The sequence below is a fragment of the Homo sapiens genome, chromosome 21 (assembly GCF_000001405.40).
Source record: "Homo sapiens chromosome 21, GRCh38.p14 Primary Assembly".
In the NCBI taxonomy this organism is placed as follows: Eukaryota; Metazoa; Chordata; class Mammalia; order Primates; family Hominidae; genus Homo; species Homo sapiens.
In genome coordinates, this window is record NC_000021.9 from 34,202,399 (window position 1) to 34,223,518 (window position 21,120).

General features: G+C 41.2%; 1 annotated feature.

Annotated features, from left to right (window-relative positions):
* Positions 1,259 to 2,257: an enhancer, noted in NCBI's record as "H3K27ac-H3K4me1 hESC enhancer chr21:35575958-35576956 (GRCh37/hg19 assembly coordinates)". NCBI's record gives its function as "activates a minimal SCP1, AML or CMV promoter by ChIP-STARR-seq in naive and primed H9 embryonic stem cells {active_cell/tissue: H9 hESC(naive and primed)}" and the evidence as "EXISTENCE:reporter gene assay evidence [ECO:0000049][PMID:30033119]".

A 21,120-nucleotide genomic window follows, 5' to 3' on the forward strand; every position in this document is an offset into this window, starting at 1 on the left:
GTGTGTGTGTGTGTGTGTGTGTGTGTGTGTGTGTGAGAGAGAGAGAGAGAGAAAGAGGCCACAGTCCTCCACCCCCACGCTTGCCCACCCAAGTTATAAATCCTGCCTGTAATTGTCCCCCTGCCTCCACCAGGCTTTCAACCCAGAAATCGTGGGGGAGAATGAAGGAGGCACCTTTCTAGATCAATCCACCTATGAACTATGGTGCCCTTTTAGAAGTGGCCGGTGGGTCCTAGAGAGCAAAGGGTGATGAGTTCGCAAAGGTGGACGAAGGAGACCAAGACCAGCAGTCAAAACCAATGGAGCAAGACCGGTGCCATGATTCAGAGACGCACAGAAAATTCCAGGGCCACCGAGAAGGGACACGTTGCGCATTCTGCCAGCGCAGGGGAGGAGGGGATGGAGGCGAGATGGAGGACAGGACTTTGCCAGCCAGGGAAGGGGGAGGCGCCCCGAGCCTGCGTTCCAGTCCCCGGAGCTGGGGCCGCAGCTTTTCCGCGAGGTTGGTCTGTGTTAGGAAATCCTATCTTTCTTAACTCTGTGTGAATTATGGCAATACCTCCCTGTTATTTCAGAGGATCCAGGCCTGTTTCTGCTCCTTGCAAATGTGAAAGACCCTGGTGAACGCAGTCCAAAAATTTAGAATGCGACCTGGTGCACAGCGCTCAGCTCGAGGAGACTTACAATGGTTTCTTCTGCCATCTGCATCGGGCAGGGGTGGGGAACTGTGGGCCCCAAGCTATCTGGGAGGAGGGAAGAGAAAGAAAGGGGGAAATACAGGTTCTTGAAACAAAGTAGGAAGCTTCAGCAAGAATCCACGGAGAAGCCCTGAGGTTGAGTCTAAAGCCCTGAGGTTTAGTAAACAAAGCCCAGCACATGGGACCTGAAACCTGGATGCCCCGGTTCTGCTAGTGACCAGTTGAAGGTCCTGGGGAAATCTCACCCTTCAGAGTCTTAGTTTTCGCCTCTGTAAAATCAAGGTCATAACCATTTCTGCCCCATCTAATCGAGTAAGGTCTTTAGTGAGACCCAAATAAAATAAAACTACGTCTATGAAACAGTAAAGAAGTATAGGGAACTGTTTTTCATCCATGTGCACAAGCAATGTAAAATCTATGTTGTTTTAATTCGATTAACTTCAAGAAAGAGCCCCAGCTAAATTAATCAATCAATACATATATTAATATATTCAGTAAATATTTGTTGAGCACCTACTCAAGGCCCTGGAGGGCCTTGTTGAACCCTCCAGGCCCTGTTCTGTGCCTGGAGGGATACACAGCTGAACAAAACACAAAAAGCTCTGCTCTTAGAAAGCTTAGATTGGAGGAGACCGGTGATAAAATAAATAGGAAAAATCTTTTTTTTTTTTTTCCTGTTTAGGCAGTGGTAAGTGATATAGAGAAAAAGAAAGCAGGAAAGGGGGATGGGGAAATGCGGGGTGAGAGTGCTTTAGAATAGGGTGATGAGGAGGCCTCATGGAGAAGATACTCTTTGAGCAGAGACCTGACAGGGAGATGGGGGGGTGAGCTCCATGGATTTCTAGGGGAAGAACATTCTAGAAGTGGGCAGCCAGCAAGTGCAGTGGGTCTGAGGGGAGACGGTGGCCTTTCCTGTTGGAGGAACAGGAAGGCCGGCACTGTCCTTGGAGGGGTATGAGTGCCAGGGTCAGAGGCTGATGGGGGGGCAGGTCCGGATAGAGTTTGTAGGGCCTTGAAGGTGACCTGAAGGGCCGACTTTTGCAGTGAGTGTTCCTGACAGCTGGGGGGGGGCACGACTGAAGCTCTGCCTTGGGTCTTACCTGGCCGTAAGGCAACTCCATTTTTAGCTTGGATCCTGGCAGGCAACCAACAAGCATTTATTGCAGGGCTGGCTGTGTGTTCTCGGCTGCGCTGGGAGCTCTGTGAATATCCGGAGATATAACAGGGATCCTTAGCTTTGGGGAGGCCACAGACTTGCTGTGAATAGAATTTAGCTGCAAAAGGCAGTTAGTGACCAATGCAAGACTATTCGTGTCACTCGCTGCATTGTGTGGAGGGCCTAGAAGCATGAGGGAGGCTGGGGTTTTGGGAACCCCAGGGGCAACCGGGACTATGCTGGGATCATGGTAGGTGCTTTACTTGTTTGCGAACAGACTGAGTGATTCTGAGTTGCATACTCAGGGAGCTCTTTGTGGCTAATTAAGTCCTTTTCCTACCCAGGCCCAGGTGGCCAGCAGCCCCTGGCAGCCGCGCACATGCTGCTCAGTGTTGCCAGCGCACAGCAGGGGCTGCTGCAGATGGTCCTCCAGCCACAGGGTGATAAAAGGCCTCCTGAAGAAGTAAATGACCCTGCTGGTTGCTGTGTGGAATGTTTCCCCCAGGGAAATTAAAAAATGGAATCCAGTGTCCAGGCCTCAGTCTCATGTCTTTAATAGGCTAGTCAAGATCCTGGGGCCAGGGCCTGGGGGCAGCTTCTTCCTGCTGGAGAGGCCAGTTTCCTTTCCCAGTCTCTGACCCTTCTCGGTTTTGGAATCCTGCTTGAGACCTCTCAACTCTCACCAGGCGAGGAGGGTGATCTGGGGTAGAGAAATGACATGAAGTCATTTCAGAAAATCCCACAATGCCTCATCACCCAGAATCCTTTGCGGAGCTGGCTGGCCGGCCCTGGGCTCCCTTTCAGCTGCTCTAGAATGTAGCAATGGTGGGCTCCTTTGGGGGCCATCTAGAAGCACCCTGCCCCTGGGCACCTGCCTCCTCACTGGAGGAGACCAGAGGCCACGTCCCAGCCCTGTGCTTCCAGCTCTGGAACTGCCCTTGACTTCACTGGACAGGCCTGAGCAAGTCGTGTAACCTTCAGGGACTCAGCTATGCCCACTCCAGGCTCTGTGAAACCAAGACAACCTCACGTGCTCAGTTCCTCAGCTCTGCAGGAGCCAGGCTGCTCTGGGGTAAGGAAAGGGAGAGAGAGGGATATTGTCCTATGCTTCCTTCACATAGCTGAACGTTTTATTTATTTAACTTTTTGGATAAGTAATGCATTTTATGGTTAAAAAAATCAACAAGTATAAGACATTACACAGTGAAAAGTGTCCTTTCCCATCTGCTCAATTCTTTTCTTTCTTTCTTTTTTTTTTTTTGAGACGGAGGCTCAGTCTGTCACTCAGGTTGGAGTGCAGTGGCATAATCCTGGCTCACTGCAACTTCTGCCTCCCAGGTTCCAGCAATTCTCTTGCCTCAGCCTCCCAAGTAGCTGGGATTACAGGCACCTGCCACCATGCCCGCCTAATTTTTGTCTTTTTGGTAGAGACGGGGTTTCACCATACTGGCCAGGCTGGTCTTGAACTCCTGACCTCAGGTAATCCACCCACCTCAGCCTCCCAAAGTGCTGGGATTTCAGGCATGAGCCACTGTGCCCGGCCCCCATCTGCCCAATTCTTATCCCCCACCCTAAAGGCATAGCCACTGTTATTAATTTGTTGTTTATCCTTCTAGAGTTTTGTGGGATTTTTGCACATACAAGCACATGGAATATGTTCTTCCCCCACTCCCAACTCTTTTTCTACTTGATTGCTAATACACAGTACAGTGTTCCTTACCTCACTGTTTTCAGTTGACAGTGCATCTTAGAGATCTTTTCATCATAGTACATAAACCATTTCCTCATTTTTCTTTACTAGTGCTTCTTGCTGTCTAAAATATGCCCAAACAATCCCCTAGAAATGGACATTTAAGTTGTCTGCAGTATTTTGCTTTCAAACAATGCTGCTGTGGACAACTGCAATTCTTCGTTCAGCACACAATTATGTTTATGCATAAGGTAAATTCCTAGAAGTGAAACTGCTGAGTCAAAGGGTAAATGCATCTCTAATGTGGACAGATGTTGCCAAATTAGCCTTTACAGGGGGTATGCCAATTTATGCTCTCAGCAGCAATGTATCAGAGAGAGTGCCTATGTTTCAAAGCTTACCAACAGACTTGGCTTTTAAACTTTTGGATTTTTGCCATTCGATAAATTTGAAAAAACCAGTATGGTTTTAATTTGTATGTTTCTCATTGTGAGCTCTCCATATCCATGCCCACTTTTCTATTGGTTTGTTTGCCTTTTGACTCATCAATTTGCAGAAGCTTATTATATACTAGGGAAATTAATCCTTTGTGATGTGAGTTACACATCTTCCTCATTTTGTCATTTGTTACTGATTTTGCTTAGGGTGTTTTTTTTTTCTTTTTCAATTGCTTTTTGCCATGCAAAAGCTTTTGGTTTTCATGCAGTTGAAATTATTCACCATTTATTTCGTGGCTTCTAGATTTTGAGTTGTAGTTAGCAAGGCCTTCCTCATGCTCCCATTTTTGTTTTAGTATTATGTTTTTTCTTTTTACATTTAAATCTTTGACCCAGTCAGAATTTATTCTACTATAAATGTGAAGCCCATATTCAAAATCCAAAAGTGGTGGTTATCAACACCATTTATTGAATAATCTGTCTTTTCCCCATGTAGTTGAGTGCCATCTTAATCCTAAACAAAATCATTGCATGATTTGGATGTTTTCCAGGGTTTCAATTCTGTGCTATATGTCCGTCTAATAAGTAATATGCCACTACTATGTTTTAATTGTTGAAGATTTTAAATATATTTTAATATATAGTATAACTTCCTCATTTATTTTATCAGAAATAGCTGGTCTATTCTTATTTTTCCATGTAAAATTTAGAATCACTTTGTATAGATAAAAACTTCTTTTACTGGGATAACAGTTATATGTTAACATTTATAAGTTAAGGGAAATTGACATCCCTACGAAGCTAAGTCTTCCTAAGAACATGATGGGGATTTTTATTTTTCAAGTCTTTTTGTTGTTGTTCTGAGTGTTTAAAAGATTTCTTAATGTCAGTTTCCATGTTTCTTTTAAACTTATTTTTAAATATTTTATCTTTGTTAGTGCTTTCGTAAATGAAGTCTTTTCTCCCATTATATTGTCTAACTGAATTTGTTTCTAACATATAAACAAAAGCTATTGATTTCTATTAATTTTACATATCCTGCTCTCCTATTGAATTTTCTTCATGATTCCATAGTTGTTTTCACTTATTTATCTTGTTTTTTCAAAGCATAAGCCAAATCGCCTGCAAATAGTGATAGTTTTACCTCCTTCTATCCATTTTTTATATTTTTGATTTTGTTCTCTTTCTAATTGTGTTGGCTAATATCTCAAGTACAAAATTAAATAACAACATGATAGTGAGAAAATGCTTGTCTCATTCCTGACTTAAGGGTAAAAGCTTTTAGTATTTCTTGATTAAGCATACTTTTTGTTTTTGAGTTTAAGACACACACACACACACACACACACACACACACACACACACACACGCAATATTTAGGGGTTCCTATGTTATTGACCATGGAAAATCGAGAATGGATTTTTACATTTTGTTGAGTTCTGTTTGCACATACACAGAGGTGATTACATAATTTTCTCCTTAGAATTATTATTATTTGAATTGGATTTTTTCACGCTGAACCATCTTTCCATTCCTGGAATAAGGCCCATTTTGTCAAGGTGAACATTATTGTTTCACTTGCTGATGAATTCTGTTGGCTGATATATTTGCTAACATTTTATTTATAAAAGTGCACAAATCTTTAGTTTACATAAAGTATAGAGATACGTAGTGTACAAATATATGAATTTATACATATACATGCATATGTTTATGTATGCAATATATACATAAGAATTTGAATATAAAAAATATAATAAAAAGCTAATAGATGAGAAAAATAGAATAGAAAAATACATGATCAATCCTGAAAAAGGCAGAAAACGAGAAACAAAGGAGTAGAAAAGATGAAATAAATAGAAAATAAATACCAACATGGTAGGACTTAATGCACTTATACCAGTAACTAAATATAAATACAAAACACTCCAATTAAAAGAAAAGCTTGTTGGATTAAATGAAAAGTGTTGAGACCCATGTGTATACTGTTTACAGTGAATACATACTAAATAGAAGGACAAAGTTAGGATGAAAATAAAAGAATGAAAAATGTTGTACCAAGCAATATTGACCCAAACAAATTTTGTGTGGCTATGTTAATATCAGAAAACCGTACATTAGGGGAAGAAATATTACTAGAGAGAAAAAGAGATGCTTTGTTATAATAAAGTGATCAATTTGACAAGAATATCTAAGAATTGAAACTTATATGCATCTAATAACATCATTCAAAATATAAATCAACAAAATGAAAGGAAGAAAGAATAAAGCATCAGTCATGGTTGAGGATTAATCGTGTATTTTTCTATTCTATGTTCTTATCTATTAGCTTTTTAGTTATACTTTGTGTGATTGCCCTAAAGATTTCATTATGTATGCTTGACTTATTACTTTCTACCTTAAGTTACTTTTACTTCTTAATTAATAATAATGCAATAACCTTATGACAGGTTAAGTCCATTACTCCCTCCCACACATGGTGACCCCACCCAAATCTCATGTTGAATTGTAATCCCCAGTGTTGAAGGTGAGACCTGGTGGGAGGTGATTGGATCATGAGGGCAGAGTTCTCATGAATGGTTTAGCACTGTCCCCCCTTGGTACTGTATAGTGAGTGAGTTCTCACCAGATTTGGTTGTGTAAAAGTGTGTGATACCTTCACCCTCTCTCTCTCTTCCTCCTGCTTTGATCATGTAAGACGTGTCTGCTTCCCCTTCACTTTCTGCCATGACTGTAAGTTTCCTGCGGTCTCCCCAGAAGCTGATGCTGTCACACTTCCCATGCAGCCTGCAGAACCATGAGCCAATTAAACCTCTTTTCTTTATAAATTACCCAGTCTCTGGTATTTCTTTAAAGCAGTTCGAGAACAGACTGATGTACTTGGGGTATTGTATAATTTTAACTTGACATGTGTCATAAAGCTCATAAGACATTATTATCTTTTTTGCTTCAGACAGAAAATATTTTTAAATCTTTTCCTACATGTTTATTCTTTTCAGTGCTGTGTGTTCCTTCCTCAAGTTCTGTGCTTCTATCTGGAAACATTTTTCTTCAGCTTGAAAAAAATTGTTCTGTAGTATTTCATGTAGTGCTTCTCCACTGAGGATGAGTTTTCTCAGCTTTTCCCCCCCTGCATTTATTTTTATTTTGCCTTCAGATCTAAAGAACCTTTAGCTACATATAGCATCCTAACTTGATATTTTACTTTAACACTTTAAAGATATAATTCCATTGTCTTCTGGCTTTCATGCTTTCTGTTGAAAAAGTCAACCATCAGTGTTAACTATTGCTCTCTTCAAGTTAATATACTTTTTTTTTTTTTTGAGACAAGGTCTTCCTCTGTCACCCAGGCTGGAGAGCAGTGGTGTAATCATGGCTCACTACAGCCTCAACCTCCTGGGCTCAAGCAGTCTTCTCACCTCAGACTCCTGAGTAGCCAGGACCACAGGCTCATTAAAAAAAGGGTTTTTTTGTGTGTGTGTAAGTGGGGTCTTTCTATGTTGCTGTATTGGTCTGTTCACATGCTGCTAATAAAGACATACCAGAGACTGGGTAATTTATAAAGGAAAGAGGTTTAATTGACTCATACTTCCACATGGCTGGGGAGGCCTCACAATCATGGCAGAAGCCGAATGAGGAGCAAAAGCACATCTTACATGGCAGCAGGCAAGAGGGGTTGTGCAGGAGACCTCCCATTTATAAAATCATCAGATCTCATGAGACTTATTCACTACCATGAAAATAGTATGGGGGAAACTGCCCCCATGATTCAATTATCTCCACCTGGCCCTGCCCTTGACATATGGGGATTATTACAATTCAAGGTGAGATTTGGGTGGGGACACAGCCAAACTGTATCAGTTGCCCAGGCTGGTCTTGAATTCTGGGCTTAGGCAATCCTTCCACCTTGGCTTCCCAAAGGCTGGGATTACAGACGTATGCCACTGTGCCTGGGCTACTTTTTTTTTTCTAGCTGCCTTTGAGGTTTTCTTATTCATCTTTGGTCTTCAGCTGTTTAACTCAGATATGTCTTGGTGTGATTTTCTTTTTATTTACCTTCCCTGTGGATCACTGAGACTCTGGATCAATGGGTTGACATCTTTCATCAGTGTGTTGGAAAGTTCTTGGCTATTATCTCTTCAAATATTGCCGTGCCCTTACCTCTCTATTCTCTCTTTCTTGACTCCATTTAGGCATTTATTAGATCTTTTGACTGTGTCCCAAATTTCACTTATGTTTTATTTTGTTATTTCCATTCATTTTTCTCTCTGTGTTTTATATTGTTTTTTGGTTTACTAATCCTGTCTTTTGCTTTGTATAGTTTTCTTTCAAAGCCAACAAGTTCTTAATTTCAGCCATTGTATTTTTAGTTGTGGAATGTCCACTTGAGTATATTCTAATTGTTACATTCATGGATTATAATTGTTTTCTTTAACACATTTTTCATATATATATATATTTTTGAGATGGAGTTTCGCTCTTGTCACCCAGGCTGAGTGCAATGGCGTTATCTCGACACACTGCAACCTCCGCTTCCCAGGTTCAAGCAATTCTCCTGCCTCAGCCTCCTGAGTAGCTGGGACTACAAGCGCCTGCCACCATGCCCGGCTAGTTTTTGTATTTTTAGTGGAGATGGGGTTTTACCCTGTTGGCCAGGCTGGTCTCAATCTCCTGACCTCAGGTGATCTGCCCACCTACCTTGGCCTCCCAGAGTGTTGGGATTACAGGCATGAGCCACCATGCCTGACTCATTTTTCATATTTTTTCAGAATCATAAAGTCTGCAGATGATATCTCTACCACTGAGGGTTGCCTTTTCCTTCTTTTAGGCAGATAAGATGAAAAGAGGATTGTTTCAATCCAATCAGGGACTGGGTGGGCTTGAGGCTGGATTCTACTTTAGTAGATGATTTTCACCCCTGATTTGCCTGGAAAGTCCTGTCTTTTGGAGGTTTTGAGCTAAACGATCATCCCAAGAAAGTTAAAATTTGGCAAATGTCTTGAGGGGAAGACTGGCCATGTATTTTGCAGGCTTCTCCCTCTGATGAGAGTTCGTTTCCTAAACACCTACAAGACTGAAGAATATTTCACTCTGCCTTTCTGACCCTGTTCCCCTCGGGACACCCCAGAACTTAGCAAATGTCTCATGGGAAAAAATTGCTTTGTATTTTGGGCTCTTGTAATTTCTAATCCATTGCACTAGCTGAAAGCTTTGCTGGCTTCTCTTCCCATGTAGAGTTCCTCTGTTTGAGGCAGGCTGATTATTAGCTCACATTCAGCTCATCTAGGATGAGCTCTTCCTCTTCTGGAATTTTTCTTTACCTAGTCCTTGTTGTTTCCGTGATTCTCTACTGTCTTTAGAGTATGATTATTTCTCATTTACCTGGTTGTTATTACAGATTGTTGATCTTTCTGACCTACGGTATTCCACAAGTATGTAGAGTACAAGAAGGCCAAGTATCCTGTTTATCAGTCTTTTATATTTAGTATTTGTTGTTGTTGGTTCGTTTGTTTGTTGCTTCAGTATCCATAAGTGAAATTAATTTATGAATTTTTGTGTGCAGTCGTTGTTAGGCTTTCTATTGCGGTTATTTCAGAAAGAGCATTTGAACATTTTTCTCTTAAAAATGCTCTGGCACAGTTTAAATACCATTGGACCTACTGCTCTTTAATGAGAAATGAACTTGGTTTGGAGCTTTTATTGGCGGAGGGTGGCAGGGAGAATCTTTTGGGAAAATTTCTTTGTTTCTCTATGGGTATTAGTTTATTAGATCTTCTCATTCTTCTAGTGTGTTTTAACAAGTTATATTTTCTTTTACGGCATTGTACAATATAAGTTGTACAGTGCATATTTATATTATACAATATAAATATAAAGCTATATATAGGCAGAGGCAACATAAGTTGCCTATATAAACAGAGGCAACTTATAATAAAGCCATTGTAAATGGAAAATATCATAAGTCAAAATGAGTTTAACATTACCTGACCTACTGAACATTATAACAGCACAGCCTACCTTAAACTTGCTCAGAACACTAACATTAGCCTACAGTTGTGTAAAATCATCTAATACAAAGGCTATTTTATAATAAAGTGTTAAATATTTTATGTAATTTATTGAATACTCTCCTGAAAGTGAAAAACAGGATGGTTGTATGGGTATACTTGAAGCATTTTATCTACCGAATGTGTATTGCTTTCACACCATTGTAAGTTAAGGACCATCTGTATAATTTCACATTTTTCTGGTAGCCATATTTTAAAAGTTTTTAAAAAGCAGATGAAATTATTTTAAATAATATTTTATTGAACCAAATGTATCTAACATATTATAATTTCAACATGTAATCAATTGAAATTTTTAATGAAAAACTCTTTTTTGCTTTATTAAATCTTCGAAATTTAGTGGCATTTTGTGCTTACAACACATCTCAGTTTATACTAATTCCATTTTAAGTGTTCAATTTTCACATTTGGCTAGTGGCTACTGTATTGAACAGCTCAATTCTGGGACATTGTCCTTTTTATCCATATATTTGAAGATTTATTTTTATTATGTTGAAAAAAGTAATTCTGTATAATTTATTTAATTTCCATGATTTCTCTGGTTGTTTGAATTTATTTAATCTCATTTTATATATTTACTTTCTTCCTTCTTCTTGATTTTGTTAGCCAGAAGTTTATATATTGCATTGTTATTTTGTTTTTCAATGAAACAGCTGTTGCATTATTTATCAGTTAGGTCTATAGTCTTCTATTTTATAATTTCTTTTTTTTTTTTTTTTTTTAGTTTCACTCTGTCGCCTAGGCTGGAGTGCAGTGGCATGATCTCACTGCAACCTCTGCCTCTCCAGTTCAAGCAGTTCTTGTGCCTCAGCCTCCAAGTAGCTGTGACTACAGGTGCATGCCACCATGCCTGGCTAATTTTTTGTATTTTTTTAAGTAAAAATGGGGTTTTGCTATGTTAGCCCGGCTGGTGGCAAACTCCTGGCCTCAAGCGATCCACCTGCCTTGGCCTCCTGAAGTACTGAGATTACAGGCGTGAGCCACTATGCCCATTCTGGTTTATAATCATCCTATTCTAACTTTTTCATAGTTAACTTATTCATTCAGCCATCCTATCCTTCGGTTCATGTGGTTGCTTTTTTCTGACTTATTTATTATGTTGTTTCATTCACTTTTTAAATTTTTTTATGCTTATTAATACAGTTAAATAAGGCTCTGCATTTTCACCAAGTACTGCTTTAGCTGTATGGCTATAGGTACTGATGGCAGTGTCTTCCTTATTACCATCTTCTGTTATTTTGTGTTAATGTTTGCATTTTTTTCTTTGACTCAAGAATTGTTTAAAAGAGTACTTAAAATTATTCACATAGTAATTGCTTTTTGCTTTTTTAATTTCTGATGTTATTTCTACATTGTCATTAAAGAAATTTTTTTGTTCTATTTTTGTTTTTCGAAAATTTTGAGGTTTTGTGGTCACTTGACAATATGGTCTCTTGTTTTTTTTTTTCCTTATTTATTATGTAACTTAGTTCTCCTTCAACCTTGTTAATGTTTTCACACTTGCGTTGTTCAGCTTTAATGTCTATCTCTCTTTGCCTGTGGTATTCTGTAGTTTCCTATGATGTATTTCAGCATGTAGTTATTTGAATTATCCTTCTTATGTTTTGGTATACTTTTTAAACTGAGGCTTCATATCTTACTTCAATATTCAAGAGTTCTCAGTCATTACCTCTTTGAATATTGCCCAATTCCTTCTTTTCTGTATTGGACCTCCTCTTAGACATATGTTGGTTCTTCTCATTTAAATGTTCATGTTTCTTCTCTCTCATATTTTCCATGTCTTTATTTTTTGAGGCATGTTGGGTAAGTTTGTCTAACCTTCCAGTTTCTTTTTGTTGTTGTTGTTGGAGAGAGAGTCTTGCTTAGTTGCCCAGGCTGGAGTGCAGTGGCTCAATCTCAGTTCACTGTAATCTCTGCCTCCTGGGTTCAAGTGATTCTTGTGTCTCAGCCTCCCTAATAGCTGGAATTACAGGCACATACCACCAAGCCCAGTTAATTTTTGTATTTTTAGTAGAGATGGGGTTTTGCCATATTGGCTAGGCTGGTCTCAAACTCTTGACCATAAGCAATCCTCTTGCCTCGGCCTCACAAAATGCTGAGATTGCAGGTATGAGCCACTGCATCCAGCCATCTTCCAGTTTCCTAATACTGTCCTCATTTATGGCAGATATCCTATTCAGTACCTCAATTGTACTTTCTTATAGAAAATATATGTGTGTTCTCTCTCAGACTTCTGTTTGGTCCTTTGATAATATGCCTGTTTTATTTTCATTCTGTTTACGTTTCTCCCTTTATCTGTTTAAACTTTTTTTTTTTTTTTTGAGATGGAGTCTCACTCTGCCACTCAGGCTGGAATGCAATGGCACAATCTCGGCTCACTGCAACCTCTGCCTCCTGGATTCAAGTGATTGTCTTGCCTCAGCCTCCCGAGTAGCTGGGATTACAGGCGTCTGCCACCATGCATGGCTAATTTTTGTATTTTTAGTAGAGACGGGGTTTCACTATGTTGGCCAGGCTGGTCTCGAACTCCTGACCTCATGATCCACCTGCCTCCACCTCCCATAGTGCTGGGATTACAGGCGTGAGCCACTGTGCCCGGCCTTTGTTTAAACATATTAAAAATCTTCCTTTATCAATTTAAACATATTAAATTTCTTCCTTTATCTATTTAAACATATTAAAACATGTTAAATTTAAACATATTGTCCTATTATCTTTGGTTCTTGATATGCAATTATTCCTATTTATTGGATCTGTGGATTTTCCCTCATGGTGATTCATTTCCTCAAATAGTTTGTTATTTCTGCTTATCTTTAGTGTGGCTCATATTTTTATGGTAAGGCCCTATTCCCTGGGTTTGGGGATCACCTCTACAGAATTGGTTTGCATTTTTCTCTAACGTGGTCCTTGTGGATTTCTTGAGTTCTGAACTACTTTTTACATTGATTTGTGGCTTGAGGCCATCGTGCTAGGCAGGTAGTGGTAAGTCACTATCCTAACAGCCCTGGCCTGGATTCTGATTTCTAGTATTTTTCTCTTTTTCTTCCCCAAGTTGCAAGTGGATGGCAAGCTTCCTTGTGACTTCTCATCCTGGTGAGTAGAATTTTTCTTATCCATGTTTCTTATTTTAAGTTAGAAGCAGCAGTTTATGAAACCTAAAATCCTATGAATTTTAGCTCTTTGGCACAGCACTTCCTGTGCACACACTAGATTCTGCCCAGGCTCGTTTCTCATGTGGGCATTAAATCTGCACCTCCCAGCCTATGTCAAGTCCCACTTTTCCATACGTCCCTCGTCTTGAGCTCCTATCATCACTTTCACTTTTCACGCCTTGGAGGCTATGAATACATTTTTTTCTTGTTAAGTTTTATCCAGAATTTTAATGTGTGAAACAGGATTGAGGGATTTACCAACATAATGTCCAGACATCCATAAGTGAGATTTGAAGAGAACATTTTTTTTTACAATAAATTAAATATGACTCTATTATTGAGTAAAAATTTGAAATTTGCCTTAATTTTTAAGATAGTCTGAACACTAAAGAAATTTTGTTTGCGACAGAGATTTGGGCCAATTGCCTTCATCCCCTGAGGTTACATGTTTGTTCTATTTTGTCATCGGGGGTACTTCTGTGGAAAGTTTGAGAGGCCTTGCCCTGAGGTGACCTTGACTGCTAGGATGGAAGTCATTCCGTGGGCAAATCCCCTGACACGTAAATTACCCACTCGCTAGCTCACTGGGCTGTAGCTGTTGTTTTGCCTAGGCTTGGGCTAAAACGTCAGGAAGCAGATTTTTAAAAATTATTGTTACTCATGACAAAAAGCTTAAACACTACAAAAGGCTGTAAAGTGGAAAGAAAAAGAGCCCTAAGCAGTCTCCCTAGTCTCCCCCTCCTATTCCCATAAGTCCTCACTGCTAACAGCTTCTCACAAACCTTTCCAGAAATGTTATATTTGTAGATACAGATTTCTTCTTTTTTTAAAAAAAACCAAATGAAATCATAGTATACATGTTCTGCAGATTGAAAAAAATTCATCAATGCATTTTGGATATTTTTCCGTATCAGCACATGTAGCCTTCCCTCGTGTTTTCAGCAGCTGTAGTGGATTTCCTGTGCATTAATAGATGTAGGGTTTCTTTCCCATATGTGTGCTATTTACAAAAACAATTTAGGGAGCATACTTGTGCAGACATCTTTTTGTTAAGTGTGTGAGCAGATTTGTAGGTTAAATGCTGGGCTGAAGGTATGCGCCTTTGAGCTTTTGATGGACAAGTTTGAAGTGCTTTCCAAAAAAAGCTGCAGCAATTTGCACTCCCAGAAACAGTAGAAGACCCACCCAGTGAGCAGGACTAAGGAGCCTCCAGATTTGTCCTTTCTGCCTGCCTGGCATCCTCAAAGCATGCAGGGATGTTGCTGTCTGACACGCTTCCTCCCGAAGCTGAACTGGCTGTCAAGAACAAAAATCTGGTTATTGATATCAAGATCAGATGCTGCTTGATTTTGAGGGATATGGTTGCTTGAGTGGCTTTGGTATTCCAAATAGAGATTAGGGATGGGCCAGATGCTGGTTGGGGGGCATAGGGGACAGTGGATGAAAAAGCAATCTATTCATGGATTCACCAAACTCTTTATTTCTTAACAAGTATTATTGTTTTTTGATAAGTAAGACATTTTCACTGTTAAAAAAGGGGGAAATATGAAAACACACAAAGTAGTTAATAAAGCTACTGATACGTGGGTAATTAAATAATGCTAATTAAATAAAACTACTTTGTATGTGGGGTAACTGATACCCCAGACAGTTAATAAAAATAATTCCAATGCTGAGATGAACACTGTGTTTGGTCATTTCTCTGAGCCACTTCCCAACTATCCTAATTCCCCAGCTACCCAGTCTCTCTCCAGGACTTCCCAGACCTTCTTATGGTTCAGAAACTAATAGGTCAACACCCAGTACAGCAAAATATGGCCTTTTGTTTTTTTCTTTTGGGTGCATATGCATATGTGTACACCCTACACATAGGAATGATAGAATATTTAACAGCTGGTTCCGCATGGGCACGACCAACGGGGTGGACAGGAGTCTGGGAGGCTGGCTTTTGCTGTACTGGGTGTTGACCCATTAGGTTCTAGACCATGGGAAGGTCTGGGAAGTCCTGGGTTGTGGGGGAGTTAGGAGGACTGGGGAGTGGCTTGGGAAGTGACTATTTATCATTTATTATGAAATGTTTTTAATATTTTATTTTATTTTTTTTGAGACAGGGTTTCACTCTTGTTGCCCAGGCTGGAGTGCAATAGCCCGATCTCAGCTCACTGCAACCTCCGCCTCCCGGGTTCAAGCAATTCTGCCTCAGCCTCCTGAGTCACTGGGATTACAGGCATGTGCCACCATGCCTGGCTAATTTAATATTTTTAGTAGAGATGGGGTTTCTCCATGTTGGTCAGGCTGGTCTCGAACTACTGACCTCAGGTGATCTGCCCACCTTGGCCTCCCAAAGTGCTGGGATTACAGGCATGAACCACCGCACCCAGCCCTGTTTTTAATATTTTAGCACCCTCTGTGTCCATACTGGTGCATACTGCCCTCTAAGTGTGCATTCCAGTTTGTGTACTTTTAAATATAATTAAAACCATACATTGCACCAACTATTTGCTGCTTACAAGAGATATGCTTTAATGATAAGGATACAGAAAGTTTGGAAGTAAAGCTAGAAAGATACACCATGCAAATAGTTACCAAAATTTATACTGATCTTAATGATTTGTAACTCTTTTAACTTACCATTGTCCCTATGGTAAAACATTCTTCTGTGTTGTTGCATATTATGTTATGGAATGCATGTATCATCATTCATTTAGCTAATGAAAATATTATTAGACATTTTAGTAATTTCTAGCATTTTATTTATTTATTTATTTTGAGACGGAGTCTCACTCTGTCGCCCAGGCTGGAGTACAGTGGTGTGATCTCGGCTCGCTGCAACCTCTGCCTCCTGGGTTCAAGTGATTCTCCTGCCTCAGCCTCCTGAGTAGCTGCGATTACAGGTGCCACCACCATGACCAGTGAATTTTTGTATTTTTAGTAGAGACGGGGTTTCACTATGTTGGCCAGGCTGGTCTCAAACTCCTGACCTCAGGTGATCCGCCTGCCTCGGCCTCCCAAAGTGTTGGGATTACAGGTATGAGTCACCACACCTGCCCTAATTTCTAACTTTTTAATATAAAAAATAACACTAGGTTGAATAATTTTGAGTGTATAGTACCACCTCAGGTAATTCTTCATTTCTTTCCTCAGGATACATTTTTGGCTATAGAACCATGACTTTAAAGTTTATGTACATTTTAAAGTCTTTTTGCTCTATTTTGCTAAAATGACCTCTAGAAAGTTTGCATGGATTTCTAGTGCCATTAGCAGCACGTAACAGTCCCAGTGCCACCTCCCGTCTCTGCGTGGTATTCGTCACCATTTTATGATGAAGCAAATAAGTGAACAAACCAGAAAAAGAAAAAAAGAAACAAATGCGTCTATTTTTTAAGCTTTCCTTTTTTTGTTACTCACAAGTGGTAGCATTTTAATGTTTTTTATGTGCTGTGAATTGTGTACACTTTATATGTGTGTTCATATTTTAAAGACTGATCTGTAAGAGTTCCTGATAAAATAAGGATATCAAGCCTCTGTCATAAATGTTGCAAATATTCTCCTCAGTTTTTTGGCCATTCCTTGGTAGTTCTTTTTGAAAAGGTATTTGATATACAGTCAAGTTTTATCTTTTTACTTCTCACCTGTGAGTCAGCTACAAGTTCGGCATTGCATTTTACTAGGTGGAGGATGCCCTCAAGTCCTAAGAGGTTTAGAAATACTGGTGGAGTCTCTTTGTCCAACCCCATTAGGGAAGTGTGTTAATGGACAACTGAGATTTTATAGAATCTGAAGGAGATAGGGGCTTTGGGTAAAGCTTCCTTTACTGCTGCCTGGATTGCTTCTAAAGCTTCTTGCTATTGGATCCCCCTCAAATGTGGCCACTTGCCTAGTGATTTGGGATAGAGGCTGAATTGAAACTCCCTGGGGTGTGAAGTATATTGTTTCGCAATTTCAAGGAGGCCACTATGATATGGAGCCTCCTTTTTGTTGTTGGTGAATTCAGGGCAAGCAGACTGTCTTTTCATAGCCTATAAAATGTCTCTTTAGATCTAAATGTCACTTTGGGTATTGGGAGCTTGGATTTTGTCCTCCCTCAAAGCCCATCCATCTGTAGTCAGTAGTACTTGAGTGGCTCAGAATGCAGAGCCACTTGTTTTCTTGGTGGAGATCATTAATGAAATGCTTAGAATTCCCACCGTGGTCTTGATACCAGATGGAGAATGAAGCCCACACCAAAAGCAGAGATGGAAAGAACTGGATAATTGTTGACATTCTTAAACCACTTATTCAACTGTCTCCAAAACTCCCCTACAGAGCATTTGTATTATATAAGAGAATGCATTATCTTATTGATGATGCTGGTTCAAGCAGGGGTTTCTGTTATTTGTAGCCAAAGCCTCCCAGTAGGTGGAGTGGCAATATTGCCAAAGCCCCATGAAGCCCCATGGCTTCTTTGTACGCCCCGGAGCAGAATCTAAAACACACAGATCCGTTGCTGTTTTGCAAATCTTCGAGTTGAAATGTCCTCGTGGCTCTCCTGTAGTGAGCCAGTCCTTTCTCCTTGGCTGAAGTTTCCCCTTCCTTTCAGCTCTCACTCTTTTGAAAGACCACCCTCCCTGCACTCATCTTCCCTTCAGCCTCCTGTTTGGGGGAAGGACGACTCACTGCTGTGGGGTAAAGGGAGGGCTCACCGGTGTCGGGGAGTGAAGAGGCAGCTCACTCACTACTTGGGAGGCAAAGAGTATTTCCAGCCAGAGAAGATTTGGAGAAGACTGGTCACATGGAGCATGTTTGGCTTGCAACGTCTCCCTGTCTGGGAACTTTAAGTGGCCTGGGATACTGCTTTTGGGGGCTACTGAGAAGCTCAGAAATAATGGGCTTTGGAGTCATTTAATAGCTACTTCACTTTGATAGTGTGGTCTCTTTCCTTCTCTCTGCTCTGTCATGCTTGGTATTGGCCCCATCCTTGTAGCTGGCTTCAAGATGACAGCATCAGCTTGAGAAATAACATCCTGAGGAGTGAAGGACACTCTTCCTGTGGCTTCTTCTCAGAAGAGAAGACATTCCCAGTCCTCACTGTACCCCCACTGCAGGTTCTATTCACATTGTAATGGTCATCACTGTGCCTTAGGCTTATCTTGAGAAAATCACTGGCTACTGGGAATAGAGGAATCTTGGGCCCTTTCAGGCTCTTCTTCCCTGAGGCCCTGCCCTGGGCACACAGCTGTATGAGAGTGGAGCAGATATCTGAACAAAATGGGGGTTCTTCGAAGAAGGAGGATGGTGATAATGGATACCATGACAATCAAAGGCACCATCTATAAATACCATTTGTGGAGTTTCACCATGTTCCAGGACTATAATATTTCTAACACCCCCTCAACCTCAGCAGTGAAGTCATATTATTATCTGGTTTTACAGAGGAAAAGACTATGCTCAAAGGTCAAGATCTTTTGATATTGTTAAGTGAAACTTTTTCTAAAATACTGTGGTAATAGAGTTTGCCAGTGGGCAGCCCAGAGATAGAACTTCCTGGGTGGTGCAGGGACTTCAGCCAAGTGCTATGTGAGACTTGTCCCCTGCACCTTTCATTGAGCTCCTCAGGTACTGACTCCCCACTGGATGCTTCTTGCCTCTCACCATAGAAAAATCACGATCAGCAAAGTCAGGCCTGTTTCTAACATGGGAAGTCTTGCCAGGCACCAGGTAGACTTACATTGGAGGACAAGGTCAGAAACAAACCTTTATAGATTCGAATGTCTTCCCGCCCCCACCCCAGCCCACTTGGGGCCACCCAAAAAATGATGCCCTGGAGCCTTGGCATGCCATTAAAAGTGAAGAAATGCTTAATCAAATCACGCCACTTGAAGCGAGTTGAGTTGGAATGAAAAAATTGTGCAGTGCTGCCCGCAGTGGAAATTTACCAGGCCAAAGTGGACACCAAATACTCCCAGGTTGTTTTGAAATAGATACGGTCGCGTTCTGTAAAGTTCTGAGATCCCTTTCCAAATATTTGAAAATCTTTCCATTAACTAGGATTGCTTTAGAAGAACACACACACACACACACACACCTCCCCAACCCCAAAGGCTTATGCTATGTGCATGGAAGAAACAGAAAACTCTAGACACCCCAAATATCTCTTGAAATTGGCAGAGATCCATGAATCCCCTCTGTTGTCTGTTGAGACAGCTCTCATTTTTTTAAAGTTTATTTGCGTATTCCCCCTCAAAAATGTCATGACTAACTTTCCATTCATTATCAAAATATTCTTTTGCCACTAATTTCCCTTCTTGGTTAAAATAAACAAAACAGAGTGAATGCTGTTGGCATTGCATCTAGGATGCACTCAGCTGTAAACAAGAGAACATTTTCTTAACGGATCTTGAAAAGTCCTCCCGTGAGAATTTCCTGTGCAGTCTGTCTCTGTTTCTTAACTCCATTTGGCGTGGAGGGCAGAGACTCAGCGGCGGCAGGAAAGGGGAGGCTGCCTCGGGCTTGCCAGGGTCCAACGTCTCATCCCCCGCGGCCAGGCCCCTGCAAGGTACCTGTGGAGTCTTCACATGACGTGGACGCCGGGGCTGGCTACCGTGTGACCTCGGGTGGCCATTGAACATCTTTGGACCTCAGTTTTCTCAGCCATAAAATGAAGCCATCGGATCTGATGATCTCTAAGCTCCATCCTGTACCAAAACTCTAGGACTCAAATCTAGGAATGTCTAATTAAAAAAAAAACGTGGAGAAGATACTTGAAAACAAACCTTAAGTTTTAGGATTTGTGAAGATGCGGTGAAGAGCTCCGTGGGTGAGAGAAACATTTCGTTTTTCAAAGGTCGAACACAAGAAAAGTAGGTCAGAAAACCAGCTTGTCCAAAGCTCCCTTTCCAGTAACACAGACGAGAGCTTGTGAACCCCCCAGAATATACCTTGTAAGTGGAGGAGCAGACAGGGGGTGCAAAGCAGACCTTCTCCACTTCCTGGAGCTGGGGGAGAAGAGTTCCTAGCTCTTTAGCTCCTTCTAGTCCACGGCCTAATTTGTGTGGCTGCAGTGAGGACTCTGGGATGTGGGGCAGGCCAGCGGTTCTTTTTTCAGAAGTTCCCCAGGCCTCCTAGAGAAATGGGGAGAGGTCTGAGGGTGGGGGTGAGGATGACTCTCAGTGCAAAGACAGGGCCAAAGGTGTCCGTCTCGGGAGAAACTCACCTGAAAGTGACAAGACGCTGAGTCCTCCCTTGATTGATACGGCCAATGAAAGAGGGGGCACTACCCAGTGTTTCTCAGGGAGTCTCAGGGGTGGTCTCCTGAGGACACATCCTCCATGGAAGTATGTGAAGCAGGAAGAAGAAATGCTAGTGACAAAGGTGTGACCCTTCAAGGTTGGCCACAAAGAGACATCATCATCTCTGCTGGGGAGACTCTTCTGTCTGGAATAGTCTTGGGAGGCAGCAGCACCCTGTGGTCGAACTTTCTGGAGACCCCTGATGTCACGTAAAGGCCCAAAGTGGGATGGGGAGGGCAGCCACAGCAGTGCGTCCCAACTGCACGGGACCTGGTCAGCCCTGGGCATTTGGAAATGGGAAGGGACCTGAGGGGATGGAGGCATGGATTTCTATATTAGTACCAGGTGGAGCCTGGGAGTCAATAACACTGGGAGCTCTCGTAGTCACCCCGTAAATCAGATTGGCTTAGGGAGCTGAAGATGACATTGGCAACACTCTTAACAGCCGCTCCTCAAACATGGCTCCCAGTTCAGGTCAGGAGACCAAGGCTTGGCGGCTGTGCTAGTTTCAAGGGAAGTGAGGAAAACAAGAATGAGACAGTGCTTTCTTCCATACATCTAAATTCATTTCACTTAAAAGACTGTTCTCTATTTTGAGAGTATGTCTTCCCCAATTTTGGCGTTAAAAGTATCCTTTCATGAAATAATGGC